Source organism: Homo sapiens, chromosome 8 (assembly GCF_000001405.40).
Source record: "Homo sapiens chromosome 8, GRCh38.p14 Primary Assembly".
NCBI lineage: Eukaryota > Metazoa > Chordata > Mammalia > Primates > Hominidae > Homo > Homo sapiens.
In genome coordinates, this window is record NC_000008.11 from 135767456 (window position 1) to 135791910 (window position 24455).

Consider the following 24455-nt stretch of genomic DNA (forward strand, 5'->3'; position numbering starts at 1 on the left):
AGTTAAGGTGGGGCAGGAACAAATCACAATGGTGGAATGTCATCAGTTAAGGCAGGGCAGGGCCTTTTCACTTCTTTTGTGATTCTTCAGTTACTTCAGGCCATCTGGGCATATACATGTAAGTCACAGGGGATGCAATGGCTTGGCTTGGGCTCAGAGGCCTGACATTCCTGCCTTCTTATATTAATAAGAAAAATAAAATAGTGTTGAAGTGTTGGGGCGGCGAAAATTTTTGGGGGTGGTATGGAGAGAGAATGGGCCATGTTTCTCACGGCTGCTTCAAGCGGGATTAGGGGTGGTGTGGGAACCTAGAGTGGGAGAGATTAAGCTGAAGGAAGATTTTGTGGTAAGGGGTGATACTGTGGGGTTGTTAGAAGAAACATTTATCATATAGAATGATTGGTGATGGCCTGGATACGGTTTTGTATGAATTGAAAAACTAAATGGAATAAGAGAAGGAGAAAAACAGGTATAAAAGGACTAAGAATTGGGAGGACCTAGGACATCTAATTAGAGAGTGCCTACGGAGGGTCAGCATAGTCCTGCCAGCAAAGATTATTTATTTACTTCAAGAGTTAAGAGTGGCAGTTTGGGGATAGCACGAGGAGATATCAGCTGTGACGGCTTGGAGAAACAGTGTAAACTGGCAGTGTAAACAAGAGCAGGGCATGTATGAGTAGTTGAGAATGGTGAATAGGAGTATGACTAGACAGAAGATAGTAGGGATGACAAGTTATTTGGGGGCACAGTCTAAGTTTGTCTGGTGTCTGGAATGAGACTGGGGCCTAATAAAAAGGAACGTCTATACAGGAGCTCAAATGGGCTGTACCTTGTAGCATTCTGAGGACAGGCCTGACTTCTGAGAAGGGAAAGTGGTAAAAGTATTGTCCAGTCCTTTTTTAAGTTGGTGGCTGAGCTTGGTGAGGTGTGTTTTTAATAGACCATTAGTCTGTCACTGAATACTAAGAGCCTGAAAAAATGCTTGGCTGATTTGACTAATAAAGGCTGGCCTGTTATCAGACTGTATAGAGGTGGGAAGGCTAAACTGAGGAATTATGTCTGACAGAAGGGAAGAAATGACTGCGGTGGACTTCTCAGACCCTGTAGGAAAGACCTCTACCTATCTAGTGAAAGTGTCTACTTAGACTAAGAGGTATTTTAGTTTTTGTGACTCAGGGCATGTGGAGTAAAGCTAATTTGCCAGTCCTGGGTGGGGGCAAATCCTTGAGCTTGATGTGTAGGGAAGGGAGGGGGCCTGAATAATCCTTGAGGTGTAGTAGAATAGCAGACAGAATAACAGATGGAACACTAAGAAGTTATTTCCTTGAGGATAGATTTCTACGATGGAAAGAAAATGAAAGGTTCTAAGAGGCGGGCTAGTGGCTTATACAATAGCATAGCCTGCCTTTGCTGGTATGTGGTGATTAGGCCTGGTGGAACTGCCATCAATAAATCAAGCATGATCAGGGTGAGAAACAGGGAAGAAGGAAATGTGGGGAAATGGGATGAACATCAGGTGGATCAGAGAGATGCAGTCATGGGGGTCAGGTGTGGTATCAGGAATAATGTGGGAGGCCGGATTGAAGTCCCGGCCAGGAACAATGGTAATTGTGGGTCTTAATGAAGAGTGAGTACAGCTGAAGGAGCCAGGGAGCAGAAAGTATATGCATCAGGTATGAGGAAGAAAATAGATTTTGGAAGTTATGAGAAATGTAGAGAGTGAGTTGAGCACAGTTTGTGAGTTTGAGGGCCTCTAAAGGTATTAAAGCAGCAGCAGCCGCTGCACGCAGACATGAAGGCTAGGCTAAAACAGTAAGGTCAAGTTGTTTGCACAGAAAGGCTACAGGGTGCGGTCCTGGCTCTTGTGTAAGAATTCTGACCGCACTAACCATGCCTAGGAAAGAAAGGAGTTGTTGTTTTGTAAGGGATTGAGGTTTGGGAGATTAATCAGACACGATCAGCAGGGAGAGCACATGTGTTTTTACGAGAATTATGTTGAGATAGGTAACAGATGAGGACGAAATTTGGGCCTGACTGAAGTAATGGGGTCTGTCTGTGAAGCCTTGTGGCAGTACAGCCCAGGTAATTTGCTGAGCCTGATGGGTGTCAGGGTCAGTCCAAGTGAAAGCAAAGAGAGGCTGGGATGACGGGTGCAAAGGAATAGTAAAGAAAGCATCTTTGAGATCCAGAACAGAATAATGGATTGTGGAAGGAGGTATTGAGAATAGGAGAGTATATGGGTTTGGCACCATGGGGTGGATAGGCAAAACAATTTGGTTGATAAGGCATAGATCCTGAACTAACATGTAAGGCTTGTCTGGTTTTAGGACAGGTAAAATGGGGGAATTGTGGGAGAGTTTATAGGCTTTAAAAGGCCATGCTGTAGCAGGCGAGTGATAACAGGCTTTAATCCTTTGAAAGCATGCTGTGGGATGGGATATTGGCATTGAGTGGGGTAAGGGTGATTAGGTTTTAATGAGATGGTAAGGGTGCATGATTGGTCGCCAAGGAGGGAGTAGAGGTATCTTATACTTGTGGGTTAAGGTGGGGGAATACAAGAAGAGGACACAAAGGAGGTTTTGGATTGGGAAGAAGGGCGGCAATGAGATGCAGCTATAGTCCAGGAATAGTCAGGGAAGCAGATAATTTGGTTAAAATATCTCGGCCTAATAAGGGAACTGGGCAGGTGGGGATAACTAAAAAAGAGTGCATAAAAGCGTATTGTCTAAGTTGGCACCAGAGTTGGGGAGTTTTAAGAGGTTTAGAAGCCTGGCTATCAATACCCACAATAGTTATGGAGGCAAGGGAAACAGGTCCTTGAAAAGAAGGTAATGTGGAGTGAGTAGCCTCCGTATTGATTTAGAAGGGGACGGACTTACCCTCCACTGTGAGAGTTACCTAAAGCTCGGCATCTGTGATGGTCTACAGGGCTTCCGAGGCAATCAGGCAGCATCAGTCTTCAGCCGCTAAGCCAAGAAGGAGTCAGTCAGAGAGCCTTGGGCCAGAGTTCCAGGGGCTCTGGGAGTGGCTGCCAGGTGAGTTGAACAGTCCGATTTCCAGTGGGGTCCCGCACAGATGGGACACAGCTTAGGAGGAATCCTGGGCTGCAGGCATTCCTTGGCCTGGTGGTCAGATTTCTGGCACTTGTAGCAAGCTCCTGGGGGAGGAGGTTCTGGAGGAACGCCTGGCCGCTGCAGTTCAAGGGTTTGGAAGTTCTTGTGTGCTGGAGATGTGGCTGGGGTTTGTCTCACAGTGGAGGCAAGGAATTGCAACTTTTTTTTTTTATTATTATTGTACACCTTGAAGGTGAGGTTAATTAAGTCCTGTTGTGGGGTATGAGGGCCAGATTCTAATTTTTGGAGTTTTATTTAATGTCGGGAGCAGATTGGGTAATAAAGTGTATATTGAGAATAAGATGGCCTTTTGACCATTTAGGGTCTAGGGCTGTAAAGTGTCTCAGGGTTGCTGCCGAACGAGCCATGAACTGTTCTGGGTTTTTATATTTGATGAAAAAGAGCCTAAACGCTTCTGATTTGGGATAAAGAAAAAGGAGCATTAACCTTGACTATGCCTTTGGCTCCAGCCACCTTTTTAAGAGTAAATTGCTGAGCAGGTGGGGGAGGGCTAGTCACGGAACATAACTGCAAGCAGGACCAGGTGTGAGGAGGGGAGGCGATAAAAAGATTACAGGGTGGAGGAGCAGAGGCTGAGGAAGAATTGGGACCTAGCTTGGCCTGGTGAGGAGGGGAGAGGTCAGATGGGTCTGTAGAAAAGGGAGATTAGAAAGACTCAGTGACGCTTGGGGTTGGGACTGTGGGGACAGGCAGGAGGGAAAGAAGGAAGATTTGGGACGAGTTGCACTGGGCACAGAGACTAGGAAGGGACTGATGTGTAAAAGAATGCCTGGATGTCAGGCACCTCAGACCATTTGCCCATTTTATGACAAGAATTATTTAGATCTTGTAGGATGGAAAAATTGAAAGTGCCATTTTCTGGCTATTTGGAACTACCATCGAGTTTGTATTGGGGTCAAGTGGCATTGCAGAAGAAAATGAGATGCTTAGATTTTAGGTCAGGTGAGAGTTGAAGAGGTTTTAAGTTCTTAAGAATATAGGTTAAGGGAGAAGAAGGAGGAATGGAAGGTTGAAGCTTGCCCATAGTGAAGGAGGCAAGCCCAGAGAAAAGAGTAGAGACACGGAGAAGGGGTAGGGGTTTCTTGCCCTCCAGAAAAGCAGAGGAAGTGTTGGGGCATGGAAATAAGGAATTGGGGCACAGAGATAAGAGGTTGGGGTGCGGAAATAAGGGATTGGGGCACAGAGATAAGAGGTCGGGGTGTGGAAATAAGGGATTGGGGCACAGAGATAAGAGGTCGGGGTGTGGAAATAAGGGATTGGGGGTTCTTTCCCCCTAGCAAAGTGGGACTTGCCGCTAAGGGTGAAGGAGAAGGGGTTGAGGGGTACTTGCCCTCCCCCAGAAAAGCAGAGAAGGGGTAGAGACAAGGAGAGAAGGGGTTGGGGTACTTGCCCCTTCCCCAGAAAAGCAGAGAAGGGGTAGAGACAAGGAGAGAAGGGGTTGGGGTACTCGCCCCTTCCCCAGAAAAGCAGAGAAGGAGTAGAGACAAGGAGAGAAGGGGTTGGGGTACTTGCCCCTTCCCCAGAAAAGCAGGACTTGCCACTAAGGGTGAAGGACCAAGGCAGGCGTCCCTGCGTGGTCTGACACCCTTGAAACGTGGGTGAATAATCAGAGAGGTGTCCCTGCAATGATTAAACACCAAGAGAAGGCTGCCTTCCCAGTCTGTGACTGGCGCCGGAGTTTTGGGTCCAAGGATAAAAGGTGTCTCCTTTGTCTCTACCAGAAAATGAAAGGAATTGAAATTAAGAGAAGGGAGAGATTGAAGTGTGGCACCAAGATTGAAAGGAGAAAGAGGTTGAGGGATAGTGAGGGAGGTTGGAGAAGAGAGTGAAAAGAGGCCGCTTACCAGATTTGAAATTGGTGAGATGTTTCTTGGGCTGGTCGGTCTGAGGACCTGAGGTCATAGGTGGATCTTTCTCATGGAGCAAAGAGCAGGAGGACGGGGGATTGATCTCCTAAGAGAGGTCCCCCGATCCGAGTCACGGCACCAAATTTCATGCGCATCCGTGTGAAGAGACCACCAAACAGGCTTTGTGTGAGCAATAAAGCTGTTTATTTCACCTGGGTGCAGGTGGGCTGAGTCCGGAAAGAGAGTCAGCGAAGGGAGATGGGGTGGGGCCATTTTATAGGATTTGGGAAGGTAATGGAAAATTACAGTCAAAGGGGGTTGTTCTCTGGTGGGCAGGGGCAGGGGTCACAAGGTGCTCAGTGGGGGAGCTTCTGAGCCAGGAGAAGGAAATTCACAGGGTTAATCACTCAGTTAAGGTGGGGCAGGAACAAATCACAATGGTGGAATGTCATCAGTTAAGGCGGGGCAGGATCTTTTCACTTCTTTTGTGATTCTTCAGTTACTTCAGGCCATCTGGGTATATACGTGCAAGTCACAGGGGATGCAATGGCTTGGCTTGGACTCAGAGGCCTGACAATGTTGACTTAGCCATTTCTTAAAATAATAAAGTTTGAACTAGTTTTCCCAGTTTTAGAATAAGAAAATGGGTATCAGAGATGTTAATATGAGTTAATCCAGGCTTGTATGCCCAGCCTGTGCCAGAGCTGGATTTACACTGAAATCCAGCCTCTATGGGAGCTTATACTCTTCCCTACAGCTTACCTCCACCTATCTGCTCTGATGACCACCTTCCAAATACACGATGGGTACCAGCGTGTTTTGAATGAAACTCTAGCAATGTAGCTGGTAGTCACTGTCCCCATAGCCACCAGAATCCTGGACAAAGGAGCACGCAGGAAATCCACCTGCCTGGGTCCCTGTGGGGTGTTCGCTGCATCAGGGGTCTGACTGCAGGCACAGTTTCAATAACACAACCACAGTGGAAAGTTTAAGAGTTTTAACATTGCCAAGAATTTCTCTCATTCTACAGGTGGTCCCTTCACTTCGTTGATTGTTTTCTTTGCTGTGCCGAAGCTTTTTAGTTTAATATAATCCCAGTTGGTCTGCTTTTGTTTTTATTGGCTGTGCATTTGAATTCTTCCTTATAAAAATCTTTGCCCAGACCAATGCCTTGAAGCATTTCCCCTGTGTTTTCATGTCATAGTTTTATAGATTGGGGTCTTACATCTAAATCTTTAATCCATTTTGAATTGACTTTTGTACCTAGTGAGAGATAGGGGTCTAGTTTCATTCTTCTGCATATGAATATCCAGTTTTCCGTACGCCACATTTCCCACCTCGATCAGAAGGACTTGGGCCCCCCATGAGTGGCGCTGGGGAGTGGGTCTTCCGTACGCCACATTTCGAATATCCAGTTTTCTCAGTACCATTTATGGAAGAGGCTGTCCTTTCTCCAATATATATCTTGGGAACTTTGTAATCAGGTGGCCATAATATGGGGACTTATTTCTGGGCTCTGTTCCATTGGTCGATGTGTCTGTTTTTATACAAGTATCATGGCACTCAAACAACTCAATAGTAAAAAAAAAAAACACAAAAAAATACCCAAATAATCCAATTAAGAAATGGGCAAAAGATCTGAATATTTTTTTTTTTTAAAAAGACATATAAATGGCCAAGAAGTATATTAAAAATGCTCAACATAACTAATCATCTGAAAAGCACAAATTCAAACCAAAAGGAGCTGTCATCTTACTCCTATTAGAGTGGCAATGATCAAAAAGACAAAATACAACAAATGCTAGTAAGGGGGAATCTTATATACAGTTGGTGGAAATGTAAATTAGTGCAGCCATTATAGAAAACATCATGGAGTTTTCTCAAAAAACTAAAAATAGAAATACCACAGGATCCAGCAATTCCACTACTGAGTATTTATCCAAAGGATAGCAAATCAGTGTATTGAAGAGATATCTGCATCACCATGTTTATTGCAGCACTATTCACAATAGCCAAGATATAGAATCAACCTAAATGTCCAACAAAAAGTAAATGAATAAAAAATGTGGTGTATATACATAATGCAGTATTATTCAGCCATACAAAGAATGGAATCTTGTCATTTGTGGCCACATGAATGATTCTGGAGGACATTTATATTAAGTGAAATAAGTCTGGCACAGAAAGATAAATATCGCACATTCTCACTCACATGTGGGAGCTAGAAAGTGAGTTAATGGAAGCAGTGAATAGGATTGTCGCTATTAAGAGGCTAGAAGCACAGTCGGGAGGGGAGGGTGGGGAGAGGTTGCTTAGCAGATACAAAATTACAGCTAGGCAGGAGAAATAAGTTCTAGTATTCTTATAACACTATAGGGTGACTATAGTTAATAATTTGTATTTTCAAATAGCCAGAAGAGAGGATTTTTGAATGTTCTCAACACAAAGAAATGACAAATGTTTGAGGTGATGAATATGCTAATTACCTGGATTTGATCATTAATACTGTATAATGTATTCAAATATTACTCTCTACCCCATTAATATGTACAATCCTTATGTGTCAATTGAAAACACAAGAAAGAGTCTATGAGAAAAAAGTGTTTTTAGTCCTCACAAACTTGAAGGAGGGGACACAGCATGCCTGGAGGCCACACACATGAAAGTCTGTGAGCAAAGACGGAAGAGAGAAGAGAGTGACAACTAGCCACATAGATTGGGAAAGAAGGGTTGGGCCCTTTTAAGTTTGTGAGCAGATGCTTGCCTTTTCTACTTAAAGAAGTAGGGAGCCCAGTCTGGTAGGAGAGAGATACCTCTAAGTTCTCTCTGGCTACCAGCTTGAGCGATTTGGGTGTGGTGTAGAACTGGAAACTGTGTCAAGGGTGCCTGAGCCCTGCCTCTGGGATGAGAAAGCTAAACCCACATTGAAAACAGTCACTGAGGCCCCTTAAAATTAAATGCGCTCACTACACAGAGGGACTGGGTGAAACACTTGAATTTACTTGCTTCTTTATTTAACAGGCGTGGAGAGCACCTGCCCCCTGCAGAGCCCTGGGTAAGGCATGAGATCATGGAGAATCTTTATGACTACTCTGTTTTGGTTCTGTTTTGTGGAGATTGTCAGAAAAATATACTGGGGTAAAGATATTAAGCCCATTGAGTGAGCCAAGGACTTATATGAGGAAACATTGGGAGAAAAGCAGAAAGCAATGATGCAAAGTAGAGGCATATTTGGGGGCAAAGTCACTTCAAATGGGAGCAAACTTGAAGGTCAAGATTCCCGCAGACAATAAGAAGAAAGTGGAACTTTGAAATGTTTACTGTAAGTCACTCCTGGCAGACTGTGTCTTAACTTACAGCAGTACCCCCAGCCTGAACACAGCATCCAGCACTGAGTCTGCTCTTACCCACGCTGGTGGGAGGAACAAGTGAGGCTGGCCTGTGTCTTTGCTGCCACCTAATCCCCACACCCGCCAGCATTTATTCTCACCTCTTAGTGGAAGATGTGGCCTCCTCCCACACAAGGCTATTTCTTTGACTGTGCTTGTGATGGAAGATGCTGCCACCGCTCCCAGACCTTGTCCCATTGGTTGGCCTCTACATTCCCTGGGTCGGTTACCTCTCCCTCCAGTGTTTGGATGTGCTCAAGTCTCTCTCAACTTAAGAGTCACCACTCACCACATCTCATCTTCTGCCTATAGAAAATAGATTGTTGGTTACCAGAGGCCAGAGGAGGGGGAGGGGGCTGGAGTTGGGGGATGAAGGGGAAAAAGAGAATATAAATGTTTTTATTACCACTGAACTGTGTAGTTAAACTGTATGCACTCCTTTCCTATACATTCATACTTGAAATAATGGAATGCACATGAGTTCTCTACTTTCTTACCGTTCCTATCAGCACAATGACATCTGACTTCTACCTCCTCCACTCCAAGAAAGCAACACTTGGCGGTCATCAATAGCCTTCTTATTGCTTAATCCGATGATCAATTTTCAATATGCATCTTGCTTGACCTCATGGATTTTCAAACCTGCCTCTCTCTTGAATAAAGCCCTTTCTTTGCTTCCTTAGCCCTACATCAGCCAGGATCACCTTCTATCTCTCTTGCTTTTCCTCAGATCAGCCACTTCTGTATCTTCCTTAAGTATTGATGTGGCAGGTTGGGTTTCTCTATTTCATGACTGCGAAATAGATATGTATGTGTAGGGGGATTTTGGGAAATCCTCTTGGGAGATACACCTGAAATGGAGGGAAGAAAAAAAGATTGAGTTGAGAGACAAGTTGAACTGTGATTCATTTGCAACAGAGACATCCTTTTTTTGGAAAGCTCTAGAGCTGAGTTAGCCCTTCAGAATTATTCACAGTGAGCCAAGAGGTTTTGCCTTTACAACTCCTCTCACCTGATCAGGTATCAGACGAGGGTTGTCTCCAGGAAGGGGATAGGACCCTGGGTAAAGCAGCTGTCTTTGAATGCGGGCAATTCCAAGGGAAGGCTCAGCCTCTGGGCAATGAGTGCCTCAGCCTAGAGGTAGAATATCATGACATGTATGACAATCAGGGTTTCTCAAAATTTTGTTTTTGGCCTCTTCTCATCTCACTCTGTAAGCTCTGACTGGGTGAACCAACCTCCACAGATTCCATTACCTTCTAGATCCTAATGACTTGTTTCTCCAGCCTAGACATGTCTCCTGAGTCACCTGTGTAACATGCCACCTAATAACTGCAGTCATCAATAACCTCAACCTTGTTACTTCATACTACTAATAATACAACATTCATTATTGTTTCCCTCAAACACCAATTACCACCATTTCCTCAAGGGTCTGGAAACCTGGATACCACTTGGACCACTTTCTGCACATCAGTCCCAAACATGAGCAGTCCCTAAGCCTAGAGGCTCTACCTCCTAAATGTGTGCTGTGGCTTTCAAGGTCTCACCATCCCTTCTGCCAGTGCCACTGATGACCCAGGCTCCTCACTGCAATACTGGCCCTCCCCTCGGGGCTTCCTGTGTCTCTGCAGATATTCTTATTTGCAATGTATCTTCACACAGCAGGAAGTGTGATGGTTTAGAAGTGCTCAAGTCTGGAGACCATTATGTTAAGTGGAATAAGTCAAGCATAGAAAGACAAGTATCACGTTTTCTCACTCACATGTGGGAGCTAAAAAAGTGGATCTCAGGCTGGGTGCAGTGGCTCATACCTGTAATTCCAGCACTTTGAGAGGCCAAGGGGGGTGGATCGCTTCAGGCCAGGAGTTTGAGACCAGACTGGCCAATATGGTTAATCTCTACTACAAAATACAAAAATTATCTGGGTGTGGTGGCACATGCTTGTAATCCCAGCTGGGGGGCTGAGGCACAAGAATCACTTGAACCTGGGAGGCAGAGGTTGCCATAAGTTGAAATAGCACCACTGCATTCTAGCCTGGGTGACAGAGAGAGACTCTGTCTCAAAGAAAAAAAAAGGGGTCTCATGAAAATAGAAAACAGATTGGTGGTTACCAGAGGCCAGAGGATGGGGCTGGAGTTGGGGGATTAACGGGAAAAAGAGAATATGAATGTTTTTATTACCACTGAATTGTACACTTAAAAATGGTAAAGATGTTAACTCGTATGTGTATTCTACCTCAATAATGTTTTTTTAATGCTCAAACCTGTTACCATTCACCTACTAACGTCATCTTCAGTGCCTCCTTACTGTTCTTGTATTCACTCAACAACTAGCTACGAATGCCTAGTGTCAGGCCCTGTCCCATGTGCGGGGGCTGCGGTAATGACCACAGTGAAGTCACTAGCCTTGTTTGTTGTGGTCCATGGTGCAGAAAGAGATACTAAGTAATTGCGTGCATCATAGTATTAGTGGTAGAAGCAGATGAAGACAGGAGAGGGATGTCAGGGGTTGTGAATGTTCAGGAGAGTCAGTAAGAGGCCCAGCTGGGTGGAGCCTTTTGATCATGGAGGGATTTGGATTTTATGCCGAATGAGCCGGGAAGATGTAGAGGTTGGAGGCAGCAGAATGAACTGATCTAACCTACGTTAAAAGGACTCCTCTGGCTCCTGTGTGAATAGGTTGTATGAGGACAAAGGAGGAGAGTGGGTGTCTCAATACGAGGCTACTGCCCTTGTCTACGTGAGAGACACGGGGTGGAAGGGTGGGTGCAGAGGGCAATCGTCCTTGTCTCAGGTGCCCCTTTTCATACTGGCCTCACTGTGAGCCATGCTTCTGGGCAGCAAAGGCCTCATGGGTTGAAGAAAAGCAGAGCCGGTGCCTAGCTCAGAGCCCGTCTCATTGTTGGTGCACCGTAAATGCTTGTTGGATAAATGGCAAGTAATTTTAAAAGAACAATGTGGTACCATACAATCTTTGATCAGGAAAGACCTTCCGCTTCAAGGTAGAATATAAGGGTCTAACACAGCAGCCAATCAAATAAGCTACTTCTTTCAAGAATACTTTGCTGCTCTTCTTAACCAAATGGGGTTAAAGAAGTTAACCTTTAGCAAAGTAATATTTGTATCTACAATAGTGGACAGAAGCAGTTATGCAAAGATTATTGCCAAAAAACAGCACTTTCCTGCCCCACTTTTCCATATTCTCAATTCCTGCTTTCCAAAGCAACCATGTTCTGCTCTTCTGGTATCTGTACTGTTTCTTCTGGTATCACCTCCCTTATTTCTAAACAAAATGCTGTTACCACTTGTATTAATCTGTTTTCACACTGTTAATAAAGACATACCCAAGACTTGGCAATTTACCAAAGGAAAAAAAAAAAAAAAGATTTAATGGACTTACAGTTCCGCATGACTGGGGAGGCCTCACAATCATGGCAGAAGGCAAGGAGGAGTAAGTCACATCTTACATGGATGGTGGCAGGCCAAGAGAGAGCTTATGCAGTGAAACTCTTGTTTTTAAAGCCATCAGTTCTTGTGAGACCTATTCACTATCACAAGAACAGCACAGGAAAGACCTGCCCCCATGATTCAGTTACCTCCCACGGAGTCCCTCCCACAACACATGGGAATTTAAAGTGAGATTTGGGTGGGGACTCATCCGCACCATATTACCACTATTGATTGATGTTTTAATTGTAGATATCATCTACTGACTTTATGGAAGAGTATGATATAAACTCTCCTACACCCTCTCTACTCATGTTCCCTTTTTTCAACCTCTAGAAAGCATTATGTCCCAATTTTGGTTAAATCATTCATTGTAGATGACATGACTATGAAGCATTGTTCAAGGAATATTTACACAGCAATTAATGTGTCTCCACGCTAACCATTTTTTTCCTGGAGTTATTAAATACCTTGTGTCTTTGTTTGCTTAGCTTTCTATGCACCTACCATTAAGTCATACCTAAACTCCCAAAAGATTCTAAATCACCCCTGCATCTGTTCAAATGCATTGCATATTATTTTCCTTTTTCCCCTTGCATATGCTTCTCAGATCCCTCTGGCTCTAGATTGCTCCTGTCCAGTCTGCTCTGTTGACTCTGGATCTGCTCCACAGCTGCCATTCAGGGACTTACTCATCACCATGACATGTTCTTTGCCCTGCCTTAGTTTTAGGGGCCTCACTTCCTTTATCTCTGTGAGTCGGCTAAAACTGCAGTCTACTTCAAGTACCAGAAACCTGTGGGCAGTGACTGAAACAAATAGTTTCTTCCCCACATACCAAGAAGTCTGAAGTCAGCAGTTTCTGCATTGGTTCAGCCACCTGAATATGTCAGGGTCAGTGTCTATGCAATCCTTTTGTGCTTCTCCTCAGGATTGCAGAGTGGCTGTTCCAGCTCCAGCCATCACAGTTACATTCCAGTCAGAAAGAAGCGGGGGTGTTGATGGTCCTGGCTGCGTATATCTCCCTTGAGTAAGAAAGCAAAATAATTCTTGGGATTTGCCTCAGAAGATTTCTGCTTTAGCCTTGTTGGCCAGAACTGTTTACATGGCTGTACCTCTCTAGGAGAGAGGTTGGGAAAGTGGAGTATCATGCTTGGCTGGGACCAGTCACGACCTATTGTTTGGGTTGGCATGTTGCACTTTAAGCAAAACTGGGTTCTTTTTTCAACAGCAGGATGGATATTGGATAGCCAATGAGGAACAGCTCATTTCCTGTGGGTGCCCCTCTAGGTGGCTCAGGTTTAAGTCTAACGGGTCAGTTGCCTTGTATGTTTGCTTCCCATTGTCTAAAATTCAGCTGTCCCTCTCATGGGCTGTCATCCCCTTCCTCACCTTTCTTGTCTTTATGGCTTTACATTTAATGAATTTTTTTGTTGTCATCTTACTGTGTTATGAGAAGTGGCTGTTTTTGCTAAAAGTCCAGACTATCATCTTGACTTGCTCTGGACTGTCAAAGCTTTCCTTTTGTCCCTCATTTTTAACAACACATTTTTCCAGAGAGTCCTTTACACATTCCCTGAGGGCAGGACATCTTTCTACTCAGCTTTTCTTCCCTTCCAGAGCTTGGCTAAGTGTTTTGCTTATCGCGGTGCAGAGGACATATTTGCTTAACTGAGACACTTTTGGGAAATGAAATCTTACGTCTTATTCAGGTCGTCCACGTGACCACTTTGGCAGTTTTCTTTTCTTCTCATTTCTGGCCTCTATAGAACTACAGAACGGTGAACTATATTTTTCATGAGAAAGCAAGCAAAGTAAATGAAGCTCCAGGGGGCAGAGTTTCAGAGTCCAGAGCCAGGCCTAGGTGTGTTTTTAGTTGGAGGCTTCTGAGGTGGAGTAGTGGCTGGAAGGAAGGAGGAGGAGGAGGTGAGCCCAAGCATCCAGAAACACTCAGTGAAGCTGCAAAAGCCCTCAAAGGAGCTGGCTCTCAGTGAGTGGAGGGAGACACACTTCAGAGATTCATCCTGGGTGGAGCCTGAGATAGAGGAGAGGAACGTGCTTCTCTTAACAGTTCGGCCACTGATTGTGTGAACGGTGGCCAGCGGAGGCAGAAACAGAATAGCTCTTCAGGACTCTGAAGGGGACTGTCCTATCTGGATTCATCTCTTTGGGGCATTCGAATCTTGACTTTAAAAATCAGGTAGCCTCCATCCAACCTCAGCTCCCAGATATGAGTATGTGAAGTCTTTTAACTCAGACTTGATGAAGACAACAGGATTTATTGAAAGAATGACCATCCCAACACTGCAATGAGATAGGTCCAGGGTTTATTTCACCAGTGGTAGAAAATAAGTGCAAGTTGGGATCTGATATGTCTCTAGCCCCTTAGCTACTAATGTAACCAAGGAAGGAGTTTTAGGAGAATGAGGTTTCGTACTCTCTCTTTAAAACAGCTTTATTGATGTATAATTGTTATAGAATAAATTGTACGTATGAAACAGTTGATGTTTTGTTATATGTCTACACCTATGAAACCATCACAGAAATCAACATGACAGATGGTGAACAAATCCATCAGGCCCCTTTGTCATCTTTCCCTTCCCCCCTCCCTATCCCCAAGTAACCACTGATTGGCTTTATGTCACTACACATTAGTTTACATTTTCTAGTAGTTACATAAGCGAAATCATACAGTACGCATGCAGTCTTTTCTGTGTGGACTCTTATTTATTATGATTATTTTGAGATTTATGTATGTTCAGTGTGTACCAATAGTTTATTCTTTTATTGCTGAGTAGTATTCCATAATAAGGATACAGTAGAATTTGTTTAGCCATTTACCTGTCAATAAACATTCGGGTTCATTCCTAGCTTTTTGTTTTGTCTTCTATCATAAATAAAGCTGCACTGAACATTTGTGGATGTGATGTGGACTGGGGCTTTTCTGTATCTTTTATGTTATTCTCCTCCCACAGTGGTAGAGATTGTCACTGAGTCTCTGTTTTCTCCTGTCATTGTCCACATTGCAGAGTTTACATTCTGCATCTTTGCTAATGAGTTGTTCTGGAAACTTTTGCATCCCACAGATACAATCTGCAAAATTGTACCTGGGGTGGAGTGATGCTGCAGCTTTTGGTCTAGCATGAGCTCCTGTGGTCTGAGCCTGCATTCCATTTCCATCTGTGTTCAGTGTGGGCGTGGCACTTTATTAGTTTGCTGCAGCACTGGGAGAAGGTATTTTTAAACTCTTGGTAGCAAGGGTCATCTCCTGCTGGGATTCCACACCAAAACATGCCTCACCTCTTGGCAGTAACAGATGCTAAGCTGCTTTCTGTGCAACCCCATTAAGTAATCTTCCAGCAACAATTGATTGGGAATGGCTTAGGGCCTTTGATAAACTCAGGATGGATGATCACGTAGGCTGCAGCAAGACATTAACCAAGACCTCTCATGTTTCCCTTTCTGAACCACAACAGGTTCAGATAAAGTTTCTGAGGACCAGCTTGGATAACTAACAAATAACAACGTGGATTCCTCTGTTATTGTCTTTTCCAGCTTTCCAGTTTCAATTCTTGCAAGGAACCAAGAGCCTTTTTTTTTTCCCTCTCAACTCCTCATTAGCATCATGGCTGTGTTGTTATTTTTATAATTTATAGGTTTCAATATTAGGCTTTCCCCACAAGACTGTGCAACATACAGACCAGGGCTGTGTCTCTGTCATTCTCTCTCTAACTCTGGGGTTTGTTACAGTGTTTTGCTCAGTTGATACTTGTTGACATAATAAAGAATGAAGGAGTCAGAGTCCTGTGCTCAGTCCCTAGCAATGTGACGCAGTGAGTGTGCTTGGGCTACATTTTAGTTTGTTCAGGCTGTGGGAACAAAATACCACAAACCGGGTGGTTTATAAGCAACAGAAATTTATTTCTCACAGGTCTGGATGCTGGAAAGTCTAAGATAAGGATTCTGGCAGATTCAGTGTCTGGTGAGGGCCTATTTCCTGGTTCATAGATGTCACCTTCATGATGTGTCCTCGCATGGTGGAAGGGGTGAGGGGTCTCTCTCAGGCCTTTCCTATGAGGGCACTAATCCCATTGCCCTGAGACTAATGACGGCTCCATTCCCATGGTCTAATCACCCACAAAGGCTCCACTTCTCAGTGCCCTTGGGGGTTAGGATTTCAACGTAGGAATTTTGGGGAAGACACAAACATTGTGACCACAGCACCTCCCATTACAAACTACCATGGGTTGCATCACTTACACCAGTGGTCCCCAATCTCTAGGCCACAGACCGGTAATGGGGGCTGGGGGACCCTTGGTGTACCCGGTACCAGTCCATGGCCTGTTAGGAACTGGGCCGCCCAGCAGGAGGTGAGCAGCAGGCGAGTGAGTGAAGCGTCATCTGTAGTTACACCTGCTCCCCATTGTTCACGTTGCCACCTGAGCTCCGCCTCCTGTCGGATCAGCAGCGGCATTAGATTTTCATAGGAGCATGAACCCTATTGTGAACTGCTCATGCAAGGGATCTAGGTTGTGCACTCCTTATGAGAGTCTAATGCCCGATGATCTGTCACTGTCTCCCATCACCCCCAGATAGGATCATCTAGTTGCAGGAAAACAAGCTCGGGGCTCCTACTGATTCTACATTATGGTAAGTTGTATAATTATTTTGTTATACATTACAATGCAATAATATAGAAATAAAGTGCACAATAAATGTAATGTGCTTGAATCATCTGAAGCCATCCCCCACCCTGCCCTCTTGGTACATGGAAAAATTGTCTTCCATGAAACCAGTCCCTGGTGCCAAAAAGGTTGGGGAAATGCTGACTTACACAACAGAAATTTATTTGCTAAGTTTTGAAGGCTGGAAGTCCAGGATCAAGGTTCTGGCAAACTTATTAGCTTTTCCTCCTTCCCTGTCTCACCATTCCTTTCTTCTGCTTCCTGTGATCACCTTTTGAACTGTTTTTGCAAATTTATGTCTTGGGCTTTGCTCTTAAGGAAATCTAAAATGAGACACCATAGTTTTAGAAAAAGCCGAATAGTTTCTCTTTTTGAGAGTTCTCATAGAGTTTTATCAACTATTTTGGATTATACTTATCTAATTACGGTATGTTTTGGCCACTGAACCTTTTAAAATGTATTATCTTGAAAGCATGTGCCCCACAGACTGTAAGCTTGCTTTTGTGTTAGTGTTGGTTTAACATATAGAAATATCAGAGCTTAGGGTATCCTTTTAGATGCCAATTAAACATCACTCAGCATTGAAGACATATAGTCTTCTGAGAATACAGTAGCAAAGGGTACTGATTGTTGCACAAAAATATCATAACATTATGATCCCTTGATACTACTTACAATTTATAACACCCAAACACACGTGACAAGCCAAGGCATAATGACTGGCAAGGCTCAGTCATTATGTAATCAGAGGTCTCTCTGTGAGATACCTATTTTGATTCCTCATTTGAGGAAAAAATTGTGATGCTTACAGAACAATAATATAATTTTGATTTAGCTGATTTTTAATTCTATTTTACTTTAATTTCCAGCAACAATTGATTGGGAATGGCTTAGGGCTTTCGATAAACTCAGGATGGATGATCATGTAGGCTGCAGCACATGATCCATGTGCAGAACGTGCAGGTTTGTTACACAGGTATACGTGTGCCATGGTGGTTTGCTGCACCTATTGACCCATCATCTAGGTTTCTTTCCCTCGGCCCCTTACCCCCCACAGCCCCCGGTGTGTGTTTTTCCTCTCCCTGTGTCCATGTGTTCTCATTTTTCAACTCCCACTTATGAGTGAGAACATGCAGTGTTTGGTTTTCTGTTCCTGCGTTAGTTTGCTAAGGAAGATGGCTTCCAGCTTCATCCATGTCCCCTGCAAAGGACATGATCTCATTCCTTTTTATGGCTGCACAGTATTCCATGGTGTATATGTACCACATTTTCTTTATCCAGTCTATCATTGAAGGGCATTTGGGTTGGTTCCATGTCTTTGCTATTGTAAATAGTGCTGCAATAAACATACATGTGCATGTGTCTTCATAGTAGAATGATTTACATCTGTTGGGTGTATACCTAGTAATGGAATAGCTGGGTCAAATGGTATTTCTGGTTCTAGATCCTTGAGGAATTGCCACAATGTCTTCCACAATGGTTGAACTAATTTACATTCACACCAACAGTGTAAAAGTGTTCCTATTTCTCTACAGTTTCACCAGTATCTATTGTTTCTTGACTTTTTAATAATCGGCATTCTGACTGGCATAAGATGGTATGTCATTGTGGTTTTGATTTGCTTTTCTCTAAAGATCAGTGATGATGAGCTTTTTTCCATGTGTTTGTTGGCTACATATGTGTCTTCTTTTGAGAAGTGTCTGTTCATATCCTTTGCCTACTTTCTGATGTGGTTGTTTGTTTGTTTTTCTTGTAAATTTGTTTATGTTCCTTAGATTCTAGATATTAGACCCTTGTCAGATGGGTAGATTGCAAAAATTTTCTTCCATTTTGTAGGTTGCATGTTCACTCTGATGATGATAGTTGCTTTTGCTCTGCAGAAGCTCTTTAGTTTAATCAGATCCTATTTGTCAATTTTGGCTTTTGTTGCAATTGCTTTTGGAATTTTCATCATTAAGTCTTTTCCCATGCCTATATCCTGAATGGTATTGCCCAGGTTTTCTTCTAGGGTTTTTATGGTATGGGATTTTACATTTAAGTCTTTAATCCATATTGAGTTAATTTTTGTATAAGGGAGAGGTCTAGTTTCATTTTTCTGCATATGGCCAGCCACCTTTCCCAGCACCCTTTTTTGAATAGGAAATTTTTTCTCCATTGCTTGTTTTTGTCAGGTTTATCGAAGATCGGATGGTGGTAGATGTGTGGTGTTATTTCTGAGGCCTCTGTTCTGCTCCATTGGTCTATATGTCTGTTTTTGTACCAGTAACATACTGTTCTGGTTATTGTAGCCTTGAAGTATAGTTTGAAGTCAGGTAGCGTGATGCCTCCAGTTTTGTTCATTTTGCTTAGGATTGTATTGGCTATAGAAGCTATTCTTTGGTGCCATATGAAATTTAAAGTTTTTTTTTTCTAATTCTGTGAAATTTGATAAGAATAGCAATGAATCTATAAATTACTTTGGGTGGTATGGCCATTTTCACAATATTGATTCTTCCTATCCATGAGCATGGAATGTTCTTCCATTTGTTTGGGTCCTCTCTTATTTCCTTGAGCAGTGGTTTGTAGTTCTCCTTGAAGAGGTCCTTCACATCCCATGGTAGCTGTAATCCTAGGTATTTTATTCTCTTTGTGGCAATTGTGAATGGGAGTTCATTCATGATTTGGCTGTCTGCTTGTCTATATTTGGTGTATAGGAATGCTTGTTATTTTTGCACATTTATTTTGTATCCTGAGACTTTGCTGAATTTGCTTATCAGCTTAAGCAGTTTTGGGTTGAGACAATATGTTTTCTAAATATAGAATCATGTTATCTGCAAACAGAGATAATCTGACTTCCTCTCTTCCTATTTGAATATCCTTTATTTCTTTCTATTACCTGATTACCCTGGCCAGAACTCCCAATACTATGTTGAATAGGAGGGGTGAGAGAGGGCATCCTTGTCTTGTACCAGTTTTTGAAGGGAATACTTCCAGCTTTTGCCCATTCAATATGATATTGGCTGTGGGCTTGTCATAAATACCTCTTATTATTTTGAGATATGTTCCATCAATATCTAGTTTATTGAGAGTTTTTAAAATGAAGGGATGTTGAATTTTATCAAAGTCCTTGCCTGCATCTATTGAGATAATAATGGGGTTTTTGTGTTTGGTTCTGTTTATGTGTGATGGATTACATTGATTGATTTGCGTATGTTGAACCAGCCTTGCATCTCAAGGATGAAGCCAACTTGTTTGTGGTGAATAAGTTTTTTGATATGCTGCTGGATTTGTTTTGCCAGTATTTTATTGAGGATTTTTGCATTGATGTTCATCAGGGATATTGGCCTAAAGTTTTCTTTTTTTGTTGTGTCTCTGCCAGGTTTTGGTATCAGGATGATGCTGGCCTCATAAAATGAGTTAGGAAGGAGTCCCTCCTTTTCAATCATTGGGATTAGTTTCAGAAGGAATGGTACCAGCTCCTCTTTGTACCTCTGGTAGAATTTGGCTGTGAATCTGTCTGGTCCTGGGCTTTTTTCCGTCAGTAGGCTATTAATTTCTGCCTCTATTTCATAACTTGTTATTGGTCTATTCAGGGATTTGACTTCTTCCTGGTTTAGTCTTGGGAGGGTGTGTATGTCCAGGAATTTATTCATTTCTTGTAGAGTTTCTAGTTTATTTGCATAGAGGTGTTTATAATATTCTTTGATGGTAGTTTTGTATTTCTGTGGGATCAGTTGTGATATCCCCTTTATCATTTTTAATGTGTCTATTTGATTCTTGTCTCTTTTGTACTTTATTAGTGTAGCTAGTGGTCATCTATCTATTTAGTTAGTTTTTGAAAAAGTACACCTCCTGGATTCACTGGTTTTTTGGAGAGTTTTTCGTGTCTCTATCTCCTTCAATTCTGCTCTGACCTTAGTTATTTCTTGTCTTGTGCTAGCTTTTTGATTTGTTTGCTCTTGCTTCTCTAGATCTTTTAATTGTGATGTTAGGGTGTCGATTTGAGATCTCTCTAGCTTTCTGATGTAGGCATTTAGTGCTATAAATTTCCCTTTTAACAGTGCTTTAGTTGTGTCCCAGAGATTCTGGTACATTATCTCTTTGTTCTCATTGGTTTCAAACAACCTCTTGATTTCTGCCTTAATTTCATTATTTACCCAGCAGTTATTTAGGAGCAGGTTGTTCAATTTCCATGTAATTTTGTGATTTTGAATGAGTTTCTTAATCCTGATTTCTAATTTGATTGCACTGTGATCTGAGAGACTGTTTGTTATGACTTTGGTTCTTTTGCATTTGCTGAGGAGTGTTTTATTTCCAATTATGTGGTTGATTTTAGAATAAGTGTTCTGTGGCACTGAGAAGAATGTATATTCTGTTGATTTGGGGTGGAGAGTTCTGTAGATGTCTATTAGGTCCACTGGATCCAGAGCTGAGTTCAAGTCCTGAATATCCTTGTTAATTTTCTGTCTCGTTGATCTGTCTAATATTGACAGTGGGGTGTTAAAGTCTCCCACTATTATTTTGTGGGAGTCTTAGTCTCTTCGTAGGTCTTTAAGAACTTGTTTTATGAATCTGGGTGCTCCTGAATTGGTTGCATATTTATTTCGGGTAGTTAGCTCTTCTTGTGGAATTGATCCATTTACCATTATGTAATGCCCTTCTTTGTCTTTTTTGATCTTTGTTGGTTTAAAATCTCTTTTTCAGACACTAAAACTGAAACCCTTGCTTTTTTTTGCTTTCCATTTCCTTGGTCAATTTTGCTTCATGCCTTTATTTTGAGCCTATGTGTGTCTCTGCATGTGAGATGGGTCTCCTGAATACAGCACACCAATGGGTCTTGACTCCTGATCCAATTTGCCAGTCTGTATCTTTTAATCGGGACATTTAGCCCATTTACATTTAAGGTTAGTATTGTTATGTGTGAATTTGATCCTGTCATCATGATGCTATCTGGTTATTTTGCACACTAGTTGATGCAGTTTCTTCATAGTGTCATTGGTCTTTATATTTTGATGTGTTTTTGCAGTGGCTGGTACTGGTTTTTCCTTTCCATATTTAGTGCTTCCTTCAGGAGCTCTTGCACGGCAGTCCTTGGTGGTGATGAAATCCCTCAGCATTTCATTGTCTGAAAAGGATTTTATTTCTCCTTCACTTATGAAGCTTAGTTTGGCTGGATATGAAATTCTGGGTTGATAATTCTTTTCTTTAAGAATGTTGAATATTGGTCCCTCTCTTTTCTGGCTTGTAGGGTTTCTGCTGAGTGGTCCACTGTTAGTCTGATGGGCTTCTCTTTGTAGATGACCTGGCCTTTCTCTCTGGCTGCCCTTAACAATTTTTCCTTCATTTTGACCTTGGAGAATCTGATGATTATGTGTCTTGTGGTTGGTGTTTTCATGGAGTATCTCAGTGGTGTTCTCTGCATTTCCTGAATTTGAATATTGGTCTGTCCTGCTAGGTTGGGGGAGTTTTCCTGGATAATATCCTGAAGTGTGTTTTCCAGCTTGTTTCCATTCTTCCCATCTCCTTCAGGTACTCCAATCAATCATAGGTTTGGTCTTTTTAAATAGTCCCATATTTCTCTGAGTCTTTGTTCATTCCTTTCCCTTCTTTTTTTTCTCTGATCTTGTTTTCATGCCTTGTTTCAGCAAGGTGGTCTTCAAACTCTAATATCCTTTCTTCTGATTGGTCAGTTTGGCTATTGATACTTGTGTATGCTTTATGAAGTTCTCATGCTGTGTTCTTCACCTCCAACAGGTCATTTATGTGTCTCTCTAAACTGGTTATTCTAGTTAGCAGCTCCTCTAACCTTTAATCAAGGTTCTTAGCTTCTTTGCATTGGGTTAGAACATGCTCCTTTAGCTCAGCAGAGTTTGTTATTACCCATTTTCTGAAGCCTACTTCTGTCAATTCATCTATCTCATCCTCCATCCAGTTCTGTGCCCTTGCTGGAGAGGCATTGAGATAATTTGGAGGAGAAGAGGCTCTCTGGCCTTTTGGGTTTTCAGTGTTTTCTTCATTGATTCTTTCTCATCTTCATGAGTTTAGTTTTGATCTTTGAGGCTGCTGACCCTTAGATGGGGTTTTTATGGGAACTTTTTTTGTTGTTGATGCTGTTGTTGCTTTCTGCTTGCTTGTTTTTCTTTCAATGATCAGGTCCCTCTTCTGTAGGGCTGCTGTGGTTTGCTGGGGTTCACTTCAGGCTCTATTCATCTGGTTTGCTCCCCCACCTGGAGATATCACTCAAGGAGGCTGGAGAATAGCTAGATGGGTGCCGGCTCCTTCTTCTGGGATCTCTGACCTTGAAGGGCACCAACATGATGCCAGAAGGATCACTCCTGTATAAGGTGTCTGACAACCCCTCTTGGAGGGTCTCACGTAGTTGGGTGGCACGGGGATCAGGACCCTTTTAGTGAAGCACTTTGTCCCTTGGTGGAGGAGGTGAGCTTTGCTGGGGGAAAACCCACTCGTCTGGGCTGCCCGGATTCCTCAGAACTAGCAGGAGGAAAGGCTAAGTCTGCTGGTTCACAGAGATTGTGGCCACCCCTCCCTCTAGGGGCTCAGGCCCAGGGAGATCAGATTTCTGTGCCTGAGTGCCTGGCTGGAGTTGTTGGAGTTCCTGCAGGGAGGCCCCACCCAGTGAGTAGGGATGGGTCAGGGTCAGGCCTGAAGGGGCACTCTGGCGACAGTCTGCCACAGCTGGTGTGTTGGGCTGTGGGGGACACCTCTTGGGACCAAGCCATCTAGCCTTCCTGGCTCCAGCAAGGGAAAAGCGCAGCCTGGAGCTATAGAGATGGCTGCTGCCCTTCCCCTATCCAGGGAGCTTAGTGTGTTAGGCAGCTATCAGTCCCAGTGCTGGTTGCTGCCCCTCCTCCAAGGAGCTTAAATGGCTCAGACAGCAGGGAGCCACAGCCCTGGTGCTGGTCGCTCCTTCTCCCTGGAATTCCGCAGGCTCAAGCAGATTCTAGCTGGGAGCCCATTGAGAATCTGTGTGGCTCTGGAGTTGGGAGTCTAGGCCCCGGTGGCATGGGTTCACGAGTGGGATCTTCCAATCCGTGGGTTGCACAGTTCTGTGGAAAAAGCATGGTTTCCCCGGCTGGGTAGCACACTCACTCACTGCCTCCCTTGGCTGGCAGGGGGCTCCTCTGCCCCGTGTGGCTCTCAAGTGCGCCGCTGAACCACACTGCTCTTCCTTCCTCTCCGTGGGTCGCGCCGGCCACCTAGTCAGTTCTGATGAGAGAACCTGGATACCTTGGTTGCCGGTGCAGGATTCACATGCTATTATGGCTCTTTTCGATGGAGCCTCTGACCACTGCGGCTTCTAGTTGGCCATCCTGGCCCTGCTCCCTGATTTAGCTGATTTTATTTGTAAAAATGTTCCATGCTTTATCACTTATTTTATCTTAGGGATGTTGGAATTATGCTGTAATGTTGGCTTGTATGCATGTGTATATTTTGTATGCAGTGAGAGCTTCTTGTTGGCTGCTCATGATTCGGGGCACTTTATTCTCCCTCCGGATGATTTTGGTGATGCCTCACACTTTCAGGTGGTTAGAAGAGTCCAACGATTTCAGCCAATTTGAGACTTTGCCCAGACTTTATTAAATTGGCAATAGATGAGCTATTCTCCAGCCCCCTTGAGTGATATCTCCAGGTGCGGGAGCAAACCAGATGAATAGAGCCTCAAGTGAACCCCCAGCAAACCACAGCGGCCCTACAGAAGAGGGACCTGACCATTGAAAGAAAAACAGAAAGCAGAAACAATAGCATCAACAACAACAAAATACTCCCACAAAAACCTCATTTAAGGGTCAGCAGCCTCAAAGATCAAAACTAGACAAACTCATGAAGATGAGAAAGAATCAATGAAAAAAACACTGAAAAATCCAAAAAATAGATAAGCAATAGTTGTGATCTTTTAGATCAAGGGTTGTGAACATGGCCTGGGGGCTGAAGGTAGCTGTTTTGCCTGTC

General features: G+C 43.3%; 2 annotated features.

Annotated features, from left to right (window-relative positions):
- Positions 22501-23264: an enhancer, noted in NCBI's record as "NANOG-H3K27ac-H3K4me1 hESC enhancer chr8:136802199-136802962 (GRCh37/hg19 assembly coordinates)". NCBI's record gives its function as "activates a minimal SCP1, AML or CMV promoter by ChIP-STARR-seq in naive H9 embryonic stem cells {active_cell/tissue: H9 hESC(naive)}" and the evidence as "EXISTENCE:reporter gene assay evidence [ECO:0000049][PMID:30033119]".
- Positions 23265-24028: an enhancer, noted in NCBI's record as "NANOG-H3K27ac-H3K4me1 hESC enhancer chr8:136802963-136803726 (GRCh37/hg19 assembly coordinates)". NCBI's record gives its function as "activates a minimal SCP1, AML or CMV promoter by ChIP-STARR-seq in naive H9 embryonic stem cells {active_cell/tissue: H9 hESC(naive)}" and the evidence as "EXISTENCE:reporter gene assay evidence [ECO:0000049][PMID:30033119]".